This window comes from Homo sapiens, chromosome 13 (assembly GCF_000001405.40).
Source record: "Homo sapiens chromosome 13, GRCh38.p14 Primary Assembly".
Taxonomy (NCBI): domain Eukaryota; kingdom Metazoa; phylum Chordata; class Mammalia; order Primates; family Hominidae; genus Homo; species Homo sapiens.
Window position 1 is genome coordinate 96,422,059 of NC_000013.11, and position 15,412 is coordinate 96,437,470.

The following is a 15,412-nucleotide window of genomic DNA, read 5'->3' on the forward strand; positions in this document are numbered from 1 at the left end:
ATTTTAACACTATTTATCTTAGAAGTCTTTTTGTAATTAAAACAAAATTACAGCACAGTGTTAAGATATACTTTTTGTCATGCACTCTCAGCCAGTAAGAGCGATGGCAGTCTGTCCTGGCCAGACTGCTTAGCACATCGCATTGCAAACTCTCAGGCAGTGAGCCACTGAGCTATTCTGAGTTGAGTGGGTTCTGCAACACGTGTAGTTTGGTCTTCAGTGGCCTCTCTTTTGTCATATATTTTATATTTTGGTGAGCATTTCTGCAAAACAGGAGAATCCTTTTGATGTTGCAATGTGAGTTTTATAGCAGCTTCAGAGTTCTCCAAGAGGTGTTCTAGAAAATAGAGGACAATATTTATCAGGAAACTAGGACTTGGTAGAAGATCCTTGACACAAGGCATGGCACATATGTATCACAACAGACTGGGCAGGGTGTTCAACAGTTAAGAATGATGTCTGGAAGAAATATTGCAGAAGGTGTGTCAGAATTTCAAGAGATTTTGAGAAGGATGAAGGAGCAATTGCCACTATGTGATAGGTCTCCATGGGCATGATAATTTGATGACTTCATGTCATGTGAATTGCATTAGAACTAATTCTGTTAGAGCTCCTGTTTGTAGGAATGCACCCATTCACCCATCATTCCCCACTCCTCTCCTGTAAATGAGGTATGTGTATACTTGTGGAATTAAATGCAAGGTAACCAAGCACTGGATAGGAAGGAATCAAGAAACTAGCCAAAGGCAATAATAAAAAATAGATTCTCCCATTTATCTTTTACTTTTAAAATAAGTTTTCTCCTTTTGACTTGCTTTCTTAAGCATCAAGTCCTACCACTTAGCTTATGTAATACTATCAAAACATCACAAGTAATATACTTTTAAATATGGACATTGAAGGAAACCTAAATATTTTATGGTAAGAGCACTAAAATGAAATAAATATATAATTGAAATTAAAATCATCAATGGGGAATAGAACACATACAAAGCCTTTTTTTTCTTATTTTTCAGGAGCTCATATATTTCTACCAAGGTTTTCCAGGTTTTTGGAAAGTAGTCATCCAGACAGAATCCATGAAGCTACAAACTCTTTTCTCCTTAAGAATGAGGGTCCCCTCTTCATTCTAATTCGGGTATTTTACTTTAAATCAAAATGCCCATTCATTCATGAGCTTTCACTCAGTTACTCAGTTTCATGCATTCATTCCAAACATATTTAGAGAATTCCCATGATGTGCCTAGGACTGTTCTGGGTCTTGGGTCCTGGGTCCAAAAAAAGTTTCTTTCCTTGGTGATCTTGTTTTTTAGTGGAGAAGACAGGAGATGACAAAATAAAAGTGGATGCTGTCAGGTAGTAACAAGCACGGTGAAAAATAATAAAGTGAGTAGATTGGCTGGAGAGTGTGCTGGGGTCCGGTGGAGTGAGGGTGACTGTCTGATATGGGGTGGACAGTCAAGACCTCTGAAGAGGTGACATTTGGGTACCTGGAAAAAATGAGTGCCAGCCATTTCGATTTTTTCAGGAAGAGCATTCCAAGCAGAAGGAAGAGTAGGTGCAAAGTCTCTGTGGAAGGAGCCCGCCCCACAAGTTTGAGAACCAGCCAGGAGGCCAGTGTGGCTGGAGCAGAATGGAGGCTGTACTTTGCTGGCCACTGTAAGGATTTCTGTCTTATTCTCCCTGTGATGGTACACTTCCTCTAACGTAGGTTTTAGAGGGATCAGTCTGGATACTGTGTCGAGAATAGACTAGAAGGGGTGATGAACATGGAAGTAAGGTCAATTATGAGGTCACTGCCGTATTCTAGGTGACTGCATAGCACGACCTGTGGGTTTCCAACTTGTTTCATTCCCCAAACATGCGATTGTATCTTGGCTGCAACAATCCAAATTATCCACATGCATTAAATATTCTAAGCCTGTTATTCCAATTTTACACTTCATAAAGACTGGATTCAAAACTACCTAAGGGACTATTCATATTCATATTACAAGTGTGTGTTTCCCATAAAGCATCATCTTTCTCTAGCTAGTTCAGTAATATGAAATCCAATTACAATGACCATATTTATTAGAGATAAGTTTTTTTTGCCACAGTTGACATCACCAAACAAACGAATTCCAAAAGCATGGAATATTTCCAATCAAAATGAAGATGTCTTCATTCATATTCACTTTTATTTTAATGAAACTTAAGTCCAGCCAATTCCTATTGAATCATTATACCTGTAAATGATTTCAATGAATCAGTTTCCAAACACAAAACACAATTACATAAATTTAAAATATAAAGCCTGATGTCATTTGCTAGTATTTCATTTAGAAATATTATACACATTAAATGGGCACACGATTTGTTTTTGACAAACATCCTTTTACATAATGAATTTACAATAAACCCTGAAGTGACATCTTAGTCCCTTTGAGTTGCTGTAACAAAATACCATCAACTGGATAGCATACAAATGATAGAAATTTATTTCTCACAGTTTGGGAGGCTGGGAAGTCCAAGATGGAGGTGCTGATAGGTTCAATGTCTGCTAACAGCCCACTTCCTGGTTCGTAGATGGTGACTTTTTCTGGGTCCTTAGACGGCAAAAGGGGTGAGGGAGTTTTCTCCAGCCTCTTTTATAAGGGCACCGGTCCCATTCATGAGGGATCTGCCCTCGTGACCTGATTATCTTCAAATACCATTACACTGCACATTAGGAATTAATGTATGAATTTGGAGGGGACATAAACATTCAATCCATTGATCACATAATAAAATAAACATAATTCATGCTGGTATATAAGATTGGTGGCCCTCATTTTTTTCCATTGAGCAATATTCAAGATAGGTGCCACTAACCTACTATACACATCAAAATAATGTACAAAATGGGATGTGTAATTCTGGAATATTATTGTGGATGAATATTGTAGCAGATTTTTGGGGGGATAAAGAGGGAGAAGTTGTGGTTTGCTGATATGATCTATCTGTCAGGAGAGGGGTAAGTATGACTACCGGCCCTAGTGAGAGACTACCTACCTGGGTGAGAGCCCACCTTCTGCCTTCTATATGCATGTAACTAAAGGCAAATGACCTGTCGAAGCCTCTTCTCTGTCAAATGGGAATAAGCATGGCACCAGCCTCTTAGATCATTGTGAGGATTAGATAGCTAAAATGTTTAAAGTGCTAGCACAGAAGCATAGCAAGGAATAAATACATGTGAGCTTTTATTATTATATCCTGCAGTTTGCTGCCTAAAGCCTTGAAGAGCTCTGCTCTTTTTTTTTGAATTAAATGTCCTAAAGAAATCTCTCTTTGGCATATATGAGAATATCTGCCAAGTCCATATTTGGCTTTTCAAAGATAAAATGTTTATGCAACAAAGAAGTTCATACACAGGCTTCATTACTAAAAATTTTAGTCAACTAAATATTAGTTTCATGTCGTTCTTATAAATTGCTCTTGTTTTCCTGAGTTTCCTTTCTTATTTGTAAAAAAATGAAAAATCAATATTTGCATCTTTAAATCATAGATATGCAAAATAGTTCATTGTAAACCTTCTGTGTGTGTGTGTGTATGTGTATATGTGTGTGCAAATACAGCGAGAGACCCCTAACCCTACTCCTTCCCATAGCCCTGCACAGACACCTCAGGCGGGACAGTAAATAACCATTCTCTACTAACCCCAGACCGTCAGCTGAATTGCAGGTACAATTTGGTGTCCAGGCCAATTACCAGAATGATTTTTTGGGGGGAGATACATATCACAAATGGTGGCTTCCAGGGCTTTTCAATAGGTTAAATATTAGGAAACACAGCTTTTCCCTATAGGTAGGTGAATTTCTTTCATTTATTGCACAAGCCCTTACTGAGCATGCTCTGTTATTCACACACGTCTGCTTGGTGCTGTGGATGTTTCAAAGGATAGAGAAAAACAAGTCAGTGCCCCCCGAGAACCCCCAGAGAGATGAAGGAGATCTTCATATGGAAACACAAAATAGGAAATAGCCACTTGTGTAGGTCAAATATTGGTTAGTCCATGATTCAACCTAAATTGTATTTTTAAAAAGGGTAAAATTAAAAAAAAAATGGCCACCTTGCTGTAAGACCCCTGCTTCAGGCAGGGGTCTCGTCAACCTGTCACAGCTGTGTAATTATGTAAAGCTAATAAGCTTCATAACCTCATTTCAGGGTTATATTGTTCGCACTGCCTCTATTTGTGTTTTTTGAATCCAGCTCGTAAAGCCTATAATTAGGAGGAAGCATCAAAGTGCCTACTTACACACTTTTTATTTGTTTTCTAAGGTTGTAATTGTCTATAAGTGCTTGCATGGCTGACAATTCAGCAAACAGAATGGTTTCCAAATACTCTCATTGCAGCTTTCTTGATGTTTCTTTCTGTTTCATTCCTCACCTTGAAGCAATTCAGTTTTTCCCAGCTTTAATTCCACTCAAAAGTAGGAAAATGTTTATTTTCAATTAGAGTCTTACATAGCTTGATGGTTTCCCTTTGCCATTTTAAAGGGACTAGAGGAAATTAAAATCCGAGACAGTAAGTCATTTGACTTTTTTTAGTAAAATGATTGCTACTTTCTTCTCTTTATTGAAAGGGTTTTGAGATTTATCTCTGGAGTCAACTGCTTCTGTGTTCCTGGTGCTCTATGCAGTTAGCTGATGAGAGCTCTTCTGAAGTTGGTCCCTGTTCTCCATGTGTCTTTTAAAGAATTTCTTTTGCTTGTTTCCTTAAATAGTATGTTGCACAAGTTGAACTTAATTGATTTTGGTGATACATGCTTACTCCTGAATAAATGATAAATATGACTGCCTATCTTTTGCAAGGGTTTTAGTTCTGTTCTGTATAACATTAACATTGATAAACTAGTAGAGTTGTTCTCTACACATATGAAATATCTGGGGATAATGTAAAAATTCTGAGGTCCAATCAAATCTTGAAATAATTACAGCAGAATTGGGGGTAGGATTTGAGCCTCAGGAATTTTTAAAGCTTCCCAGGTGATTCCAATATTTGGCTAAGAATGAAATCCATAGTTAGAACGGATATACTTAGGTGAAAGTATAGTTGGTGGGGACATAGAAATTCATACTTAACCAGGAGAACAAACATGGTGCATTGGAATTAAATGGAGCTGGGTCTGAATTCCAGTCTATCACTTGTTATGTGACCTCGGATGAATCACTGAAATATGTCTGAGCTTCTGTTTCATCAGATGTCACATTTTATAAGTGATAGTGCTATTGTGAGGATTAAATAAGATAGTACCTGTCAAATACTCAGTATCAGTAGATCTCAATGAAGGTTAGCTTCTTTCTCCCCTCCTTTTTTAATATAGAGTTTATTTCAGGGAAGACTTCACAATGATGAAAATATGTGATTTTTCTCCACTGGTGGTGTTTTATTAGTTCATTTATTTTGTTATTTGATTTTTATATTATTAGTCATAGTACATATTACTTTTATAATACATTATTTATATTATGATATATTATTTTAATTTTGAAATAAATTTAGCATTACAAAAACATTACAAAGATAGAACTGAGAGTTTTTGTATATCCTTTATTCAGCTTTCCCTAATATTTAACATCTTGCATAATTATAGGACCTTTATTAGAACTGAGAAATCTACATTGGTACAATGCTATTATTTCACCAGAGCTCCATAAAGATCCTTTGTCTGTTCCAGGATCGAATCCAGGATCCCACATTGCATTTAGTTTTTATGTTTCCTTTGACTCCTACAATCTGTGGCAATTCTTGGACTTGTCTTGCTTTCTTGACCTTGACACTTTGAGAGTACTGATCAGTTGTGTTCTAGAATACCTCACAATTTGGGATTATCTGATGCCTACTCATGGACAGATTGAGTTTAGGCATTTTTGGCAACAATACCATAGAAGTAATGTACCCTTTTCAATATGAGGGGTACATGATGTTGGTATCTGTGGGGTTCTTTACATAATTAATAATAGTTAGGGATATGAGACACATTTGAGGGTGCTATATTAGTTTGATAAGGCTGCCATAGAAAGTATCACAGATGTGGTGGGCAGATCACCAGTTCAGGAGATCAAGACTGTCCTGGCTTACATGATGAAACCCCATCTCTACTAAAAATACAAAAAAAATTAGCCGGGCATGGTGGCACATACCTGTAGTCCCAGCTACTCAGGAGGCTGAGGCAGAAGAATCGCTTGACAGGGAGTCGGAGGTGCAGTGAGCTTAGACCGCACCACTGCACTCCAGCCTGGGCGACAGAGCGAGACTCCGTCTCAAAAAACAAACAAAAAAAGTATCACGGACTGGGTGGTTTAATAAATAAAATCTTATTTTCTCAGAGTTCTGGAGACTGGAGGTCTGAAATCAGGGTGTCAGCAGGGTTGGTTTCTTTTGTGGTCTCTCTCCTTGGCTTGTAAATGTCCATCTTCTCATGGTGTCTTTATATAGTCTTACCTTCTGTGTGTGTGTCTGTGTCCTAACCTCCTCTTCTCAAAAGGACACCAGTCATTGGATTAGGGCCCACCCCAATGACCTCATTTAATCTAGTTACCTCTTTAAAGACCCAATCTTCAAATAATGTCAGGTACAAGGAGATAGGACTTCAATATATGAATTTGGGGGTGGCAATTCAGCCCATTCCAGGTGCTTATCAAGTAAGAACATAGACTGAAATAGAACAGGCAAAAGATTTAACCAGGAATGCAAGTGCTCTGCAGTGCTCCTTAGAAATAGAAGCAGCTTCTTGGCAAAGTGGAGAAAACCATCACAGCAAACATAATGAAGCTCGATGAGGACAAAAATGCTCAATGGGAGAACCAAGCTGCTTAAGCAGTAAATAGAATATGGTGGAAGAACACGATGGGGATGGGTAGGAATGGTCCTTGTAGTTATAAATGACTATAAGAAAATCACGTGCCCATATTACAGCTGTAAAACTCAACGTGCTATGGTGATGTTGCAAGATATTTAAAGGCACAGAAATTTTTTTCAAAGAAACATTGAAAAGGGCTTATTCAGCCAAAAGAAGAAATTGCTGATGGGGGATTTAATTATCTTTGAGTACTGTATGTGCATGAGCTGTTAAACCAAGGACAGTGACCAGCTGTTTCGAAACTTTACAAGAACAGCTTTTAATTAAACAGGCTTAAGTGACAATGAATGAGGCTCAGATTAGAATAGAATAAAAATTTCCTGATAGAAACAGTGGTTAAATACCGAAAGGTTACCTATAGAAGCAGCGTGATATTATAAAATGAACATTGGATTGAAGTTAGATATATCTGTTTTAAATACCAAGTTACTATTCCACTACATGATCTTAGACAAAGAACTTAGCCCTCGTGAAAACACTAACAGTCTCATTTTTGGGGGAGTTAACTGAGCTACTATATGTAATTTTGGTAGATTTACTAATGTAAATTTAGAAGATTTAGAACAGAGCTTGCTGCACAATAATTGTTAGTTTGATCGACAGCTACTTTCTTCCCTGTATAAGTTCATTCCCTAGACATGTCTAAAGAGTACAGTGTTCTTTGCTCAACCTGAGCTGGTGTATATGTGGTGTTATTTGAAGTCCAGAGAAATTATATTTTCAGCCCTTTAGCTGTAAGACTTTACATTTCCTAACACAAAGTGGTTTTTAAGCTTAAATTCCTAACCCTCTAAGAATTCAGGTAAAGCAGATAGTCTGTAGGTTCGATAGAAAATTATAGGGAGTAGGAAAACTCTTTTTTTGTTGTCAGAATAATGCAGGCTCTTGTGTTTGGGAAAAAGCATGAATTATTTGACAAATTGTAGTTTATAAAATTCAGCTATGGTTAGCCACTGTGTGTTACTGGATTTTACAGAAATATTTTTCTATTGTAGATTTAAACCCCTTAACAAATAATAAACCCTGACAGAAAGGCATGATAAAATATAGGGGCTCATTCATAGAATCTAAATTGACGCTGATCACTATGCTTTCACAATTTGATTTAATGTACTTGCTGTGTGTTCATCCTCTGAGACAACATTGCAGCTAGCGTCTTAGCATAGCTGTGGATGCTACAGGCTTTGAGTTCTAATTTGGGGTATTACCCTTTTTTAGTTTGAGGAAATCCACAGTCTTTCGATTTTCTATCTATGAAATTAAAATGAACCTAATTTCTGGCTTCATTGGAGTTATTTATTTTAAGTGTAATGCCTACATCTCGTAGGTTTCACCAGTTTGGGGAATACAAATGATGTCACATTTAGCAGTCATATTCAAAATTGGCTGTCTTTGTCTGGCAAACTGTAGTAGGTGAACGCCCTCCCTCCTAGATTCTTCAGGGTTACCTACATTATCTAATACCTTTCCAGGACGGTGTCTCCATGAACTTATGATGCTACCCTGGGCACTGTCTGGCCCTCCATTCCGCTTCAGAGAGCTGACCTCGAGCTCTCCTGGGGTGAGGCCCTCATTGTTGCCATGAACCAAGCCTCTATCCCAAGTGTCTAAGTTGGCCCCTGGGTTCCTGTTGTTGTACCACTGCCCTCTGTGCTAGTCTCAGAAGGCCCTGCTCTTCTCTTTACCACCTGGACTTCCAGCCATTCCCTACAGTCTGAGTTCCAAAATGGCCCAGAGTAAGGGCTCCCCTGAGGCCAACTTCCCATTGACCACTAGTGCCGGTTTCCTCAAAGGTGAAGGTCAATTCAGCCACTCCCTTCGGAAGCTGCTGCTCTGCTCACCTGTGTCATGGTAGCCCCACTTGACCACAGGGACTCTTTTGCCAGTGTCCTCCTATTTCCATGTTTCAGAGGCACATTTTCTCTCCACTTATGTCTGCCTCTTGAGATAGATTCTTTGGGTCCAGGCCTAAGAAAACAACATTTAGCTTGGTGCAGTGGCTCATGTCTATAGGCCCAGGTACCCTGGGGCCAAGGTGCGGGATTCGCTTGAGGACAGGAGTTTGAGACCAGCCTGGGCAGCATAACAAGAGGCCCATCTCCAGAAAACAGTATAGCAGGGTGTGGTGGTACGTGCCTGTAGCCCTAGCTATGCAGGAGGCTGAGGCAGGAGGATTACTTGAGCCTAGGATTTGGAGTTTGCAGTGAGCCGAGATTGCTCCACTGCGCTCCAGCCTGGGAGACAGAGTGAGACCTTGTCTCTAAAACAAAAAACAAACAAACAAACAACAACAACAACAACAACAACAACAACAAATAAACCAAAACCAAAACCAAACAGAAAAAGGAAATTAAAGAAAACAACATGAAGAGAGGGAAAGGGCTTTTCTCTTTCCTCTTTCGTTCCCTCCTCCAAATCTCATTGTCAGTCTCTCCAGAGTGATTGACAGTGGGAATGTCCAATCCCTTCAGATCTTGCTTTCCACCACAGGGGTGTGGTTTTAACCTTTCCCTCCCAAGGCCCGTTACTAAACCTCTCCCTCACATCTTCTTCTTCTGAATTACAAAAACAAAGGATAGGCCCTTTAATTGAGACATTTTTTAGCATCTGTGAATTTCATTTTTACATAATGCCATGTGTTAGACTTCTGCTGGACAGTCCAGATTGGGCTCTGTCAAGCTAGTCCAGCTCCTTTTCAAAGATCTTCCACCTTCTTTATGCTCTTGGGCTCTGCTTACCTGAGCAGACAGCTTGAATAAAACAAATAGTTGCCCACAAGAACAAGCGATGGTTGGCAATCACTATTTGTCCAATTAGACGTCTGTGCTCAGTGATGCAACGTTTGCCTACGACATAGATCATCTCTTGTAGGGCAACTTAGTTCCTCAAAGCCCCAGCTCTTCAAACTTTCCACTGTACAATCGGTTATTTGTTTTATATAGTCATAACTCAGTGGTCTATACCTGTGTCTTTTCCAGAACAAAGCATGGTCAGCACTAAAGGTACATTCTGCTTACTCCATTTCATTCCCTCATAGCACAATCTTTGAAATGAGTGGTCCTCTCCTGCTTTTACGATTTCAGGTTCAAATCTCTCCAACCAGAAGTGGGTGTTATTCTGGCCCCTTCCCAGAACAAAGTATGGAAATGGAAACTTCCATTTCTTTTTGCCCTTTTTCCTTTACTTTTGGAACTAAAATATTTGCCAAAGTGATACCTTATCCCTAACTTGGACCAGCTAAGGTGCTCTCTTATGTAGAAATTAATAGTTTCAGAAAGCCCTTCAAAACTATGGCTAATGACCCCTGTAGAAATATGCAAATTACCTCAGTGGTACAGATTACATTTACTATACATTTTACATTGCTTTCCTAATACTGAGAAACTTTATAGTGTTATATTTAATGGTGTATGTCATCAGATCTTTACTAAATAATGAGAAATTTTAATTCTCTTATCCCATTGTTCTTTTCTTTTAAAAGATATCTTTTCTAGTATATTGTTAATAAAGGCCACAAACATTTTATTGAAACTTGGTTCATTGGCCAAAAGGGGTCCCATATCACTGGAGTTATTTACTGTTTTGTGGCATTTGTATTCTTCTCTGAATTTAGAAGTTTATTTTTAATGCAGTAATATAATAACCAGACTTACTCTGAAAAAGCTAATGGAGCTAGAAAATAAAAGTTTCACAGGCCTCAATCAGGATGAAGTTGACACCTTCTTATACTAAATGTTCCTTAGCAAAAGGTCAGCAAACTCATCTTCATTCTTATAAAACATGGGCAGGAATGAGGAGAAAGTGAGAGGATGAAAATGAGAGAATCAAAATTACTTATAATTATATCTCTATGAAGTAATAATAACTTTATTATCATGTTGCATATGTGGCTTGACATTCTAAATGAGCTGCATGAAATTAGTACCAATAAAACCATAAAGACAATTACTGGCAAATGTATAAAATAAAAGGTCTTTAAGCTCTTTTTAAAATATTGAAAGTCATAAGAGAAGAGTGCATGGTAATTTTCCCTCTCATCTTTGACTTTAAATCCTGGGCAGGCCTATTTGGCTAATAAATAGTAAGAAAAATGAAGCTGGGAATACTAGCTAAAGTCATAAACCAAATTTGTTCTTTTAAAAAATTGTTTTTCTCTCACTCTGTGTTCTTTGTTTTTTGTCTGAGATCTAATAATTGAATGATAATAAAATTCTCGGTTCTGATAAGAAACAGTCAATAACAAGGTTGTTCTAGTCCCTCAGCTGAGCAAGGTGGCTTCTTTAGGCAGGGGAGAAGATAGAGGTAGTTAAGTTTGAATGAGGTCATTGGGGTGAGCCCTAATCCAAAAAAGACAGGTATCCCTATAAGAAGAGAAAATTTGAATACAGGAATTGATATGGTTTGGCTGTGTCCCCACCCAAATCTCACCTTGAATTGTAATAATCTCCATGTGTCAAGGGTAAGGTCAGGTGGAGATAATTGAATCCTGGGGTTGGTTTCCCCTATACTGTTCTTATGGTAGTGAATAAGTTTCAGGACATCTGATGATTTTATAAATGAGAGTTCTCCTGCACTAAATGAGAGTTCTTCTGCACATGCTCTTTTACCTGTGACTGTGTAAGATGTGCCTTTGCTTCTCCTTCACCTTCCGCCATGATTGTGAGGCTTCCCCAGCCATGTGGAACTGTGAGTCTATTAAACCTCTTTCCTGGCTGGGTGCGGTGGCTCACACCTGTAATTTTAGCACTTTGAGAGGTTGAAGTTGGAGGATCACCTGAGGTCCGGAATTCGAGACTGGCCTGGCCAACATGGTGAAACCCCATCTTTACTAAAAATACAAAAATTAGCCAGGCTTGGTGGCAGGCACGTGTAATACCAACTACTTGGGAGGCTGAGACAGGAGAATCACTTGAATCCTGGAGGCGGAGGCTGCAGTGAGCCGAGGTCATGCCATTGCACTCCAGCCTGGGTGACAAGAGTGAAACTCTGTCAGAAACAAAAACAAAAACAAAACTTCTTTTCTTTATAAACTGCCCAGTCTTGGGTATGTCTTTATGCAGCATGAGAACAGACTAATACAAGGGTGTAGAGAGTTAAGACCATGAGAAGAAACAGGAAGAAGATAGCAGTCTGCAAGTCATGTGGAGGGCTCAGAAGAAATCACCCTGCCTACTCCATATCTTGATGTCAGACTTTTAGCCTCCAAATTGTGAAAAATATTATAGATTTTTGTTGTTTTAGTTGTTCAGCCTTTGTTATGGCAGCCCTCACAGACTGATAGTATACCCCCAGGTTGCAGTATTAGTATTATAATATTAACTTGTGGTGTATTATGCCCCTAGGATTTTTCTTCTTATCTTGCTACTATAATATTAACCTGGGGTATAACACACTCTCCAGGATATTTTCTTCTTATTTTGCTGTTCATCAATGCTAATTATCACAGTGGTAACCCAATTCCCTTCCTTCCTTGACTGATGGCTGCCTTGGCCCTGGGCTTAGTTGTCTAGCCAAATGGCTCCCTGCAGGCCCCTTGCCCTTTACCTGTACAACTGATTGGCCTCCAAATACAGTTCAGGTTCACCCAAAGTTGGAGACCAGCTCTGAAGGGCACCAGGACGTATTTCAGAGAGGTCTTTATTACAGCCCTTTCTTGGTGCTGGTGCCCTGGCTCTTCTCTTACCAGGCCTTGACCTCACAAGCTCTGCCAAGATCCAGGCTTCTCTCCCCAAGCTGCCCACCCTTCTTCCTGAGCTTTTCTGGGTGGTCTCATACCTAGATGAGATTATCTTTATCTTGATTGCTTTTATGACAACTAAACATTCTTTATATTATCATCATTTTCTGATCTGTACACTAATACTTTTGTTCATTTTTTATCCTCCTGCAAGATTATTAATCCCTTGATTAATTATAAATTATAAAAAAGGCTTACTGAAAGAATTCTAGATTGGATGCCTTCTTTCTTGATCAAATAATACTGGTTGCCCCTATAATGGAGTTGTTTGTCTTAATGGACAAAACCATTTTTGTCTGCCTAACTTTAATTTTTTTTTTCCTTTCTCTCTGAGTAAATTTGCAATCCTACTACCTATCCTCAACCCCAGTCCATCTTATTTTCTCTTTTCCTGAGGGTGACAATATTCAGTGCTAAAAAATTCCTTGAAGCACTCTGGAAATTTTAAAAGTGAAAATTCTAATTGCAGTGGTTAAATTTGACCAACAGCTCATGTGGTTTCAAAGACAGTTTTGAAAATGGAAGCCTCAGATAGAAATTCTCCTCATCGTTCCTTCATTTATTCTCAGAACTTGACATATTTTTTCCATGTTTTCTTTTTTCCTTCCTTTCCAAGATAGAAGTGTCTTCATTCCCTTCCAAGGTGTACTCCTTTATGGAGTCTGTATGTATTTTTTTCATGACTGATTTTGACTGGACTCTTCTCCATGAAATGTGTCTTCAGTTTGTTAGCCTGACATACCCATCTGGCCAGCCTCAGTGCCAACCTTCCTCCTTTGTGAGGCCTTTCCAGATCCCACTGGACACTTAGGTGCTCCTTTCCCCATTTATTCTGTGCCTTTGGACATATTACCATTAAAACAAATAACTTAGGGCCATTATCTGTATCCCAACTAATCTGTAAGTCTCCCGAGGAAGGGGAGCGACAAGCATAGTACTAGGAAGCCCTCGCATATTGGTTAAGTGAATAGATGGAGAATTCCCTCATTCCCTTGATTCTTTAACCTTACTTCTAAGTAGGGTCCTTTCCCTCAACCTGTTAACAAACTCTAGTGTGATCTTTAAACAAGCAAACAAAAATAAAAACAAAACTTCTGTATAGTTTTTCCCTAAGTTATCACTCCTTTTTTTTTTATCAGACTTTAGAAAAGAATCACAAATTCTTTGTACTTCATTTCCCATTGACTTTCAAACAATGAAATCTGTCTTTAATGATCTCAACTATAGTAACATTGCTTTTCTGAAGATCATGAGTAGCTCCCAAGTGCCATGTCACGTAGTCGTCTCAGGCTTTATTTATCTGAACTCTTAGCTGCATTCTCTTTCTTGGAAAGAAGATCTTGCTCTTTCCTAATTCCCCTTCTTCTCTTTGTTGTTCTCTTTGGGTGTCTCTTTTTCTGCAAGGAATTGGAAGTTAGAATGCCCAAGCACTCATGGCTGTGTCTCCTACATCACTCTGCCCTATGTTTTACTTGGAAACAGTCATTTGTTTTAAGAAAAAGTCTTTTCACCAAATTTATCTATTGAGACATTTCATCAGTCCTATAGAGGAGAAATCAAAGGTCAGCATTATCATTGCCTGGTCTAAATTTGTAACTCCCCAGTCTTGCAAAATTTTGGAGTTTAACTATTTACATTGGAATGTATTTATCTGTACCTTTGTATAAATCCATATTTTAAAAGTTGAATTTCATATTCACAAATATGTCAATGGTATCATGCTTTCTTCACAGTACTGTACACAGTTACCACTGACATTTCCTTGATGATTAAAAACCAAACACACCGATGTTATTGGTCAAATTGTTTCCTTCTCCCAACCTCATATGTTGAAGCCCTAACCCCCAGTACCTCAAAATATGACTGTATTTGGAGACAGAGTCTTTGAAGATGCAATTAAATTAGAGTAAGGCCATCAGGGTGAGTCCTAATCCAACCTGACTAGTGTCCTTATAAGAAGAAGAAATTTCATCATATAAAAAGGATACAAGGTTTGCGCATTCAAAGAGAAAAGGCCATGTGAGGACATAGCAAGAAGGTGGCTGTCTGCAAGCCAGAAGAAGAGCCCTCACCAAGAACTGTATGGGCTGGCACCTTGTTCTTAGACTTCCAGCCTTCAAAACTGTAAGACAATAAATTTCTGTTGTTTAAGCCACCCAGTCCATGGTATTTTTGTTATGGCAGCCCTAGCAAACTAATATAACCCCTGTAGCAAAAGTGAACATTCAAATACATTTATTGGTAAAGTTCTAGGTGGAGGGCATTAAAGGCAGAAAAAGGGCCTCCATTTTTTTTTTCTATTGTTCTTTTAACCCTTCTGGCTTTCCTCACAAATTCAATGGGGGAGCATATTTTAGGACAATGTTCTAGAAGGCTGTAGTAGCTACCAAATATGTTGTGTGTTCCTCACATAACACAAGTCACCATGTGGTCTGTTTTCTCTTTGTTCCTATGCTAAACTCCTCTAAGTTTTGATCTTTGAGTTCTGCATTTACCAACTCAAGATGCCTCCCTGTTCTTCATGCACATCCAGATCAGGCCCATTCTCCAGCATGACCTTGTTAATTTTCTCTCCTTCCAGGAGATCTCCCTGGCCACCCATTCTGCACTGATGTCTTTCTTAGTCATTCTCAGTCCCTTGTTGCTCATGATACTAATTGCTGAGTATCATCAGCTACTTTGTTTCATTATTCAGGCTCTTCAATGTTTGTCTTCTTTGAGTCTTATTTGCTTTGAAGATTTTACATTTTCTGAAGGCAAGGAAAATACTATCACTTCTTTCTCATTTCCA

At 38.7% G+C, this 15,412-nt stretch overlaps 1 protein-coding gene and 1 non-coding gene across 2 annotated transcripts in view; both read left to right on the forward strand.

Annotated features, from left to right (window-relative positions):
• The window catches only part of HS6ST3 (heparan sulfate 6-O-sulfotransferase 3), a 749,456-nt gene that overhangs the window by 331,952 nt on the left and 402,092 nt on the right, over nucleotides 1-15,412 (forward strand). The window lies entirely within an intron of this gene.
• Nucleotides 5,171-5,234, forward strand: MIR4501 (microRNA 4501). The gene has a single exon (NR_039723.1). It is a non-coding gene; the product is annotated as a microRNA 4501 (primary transcript).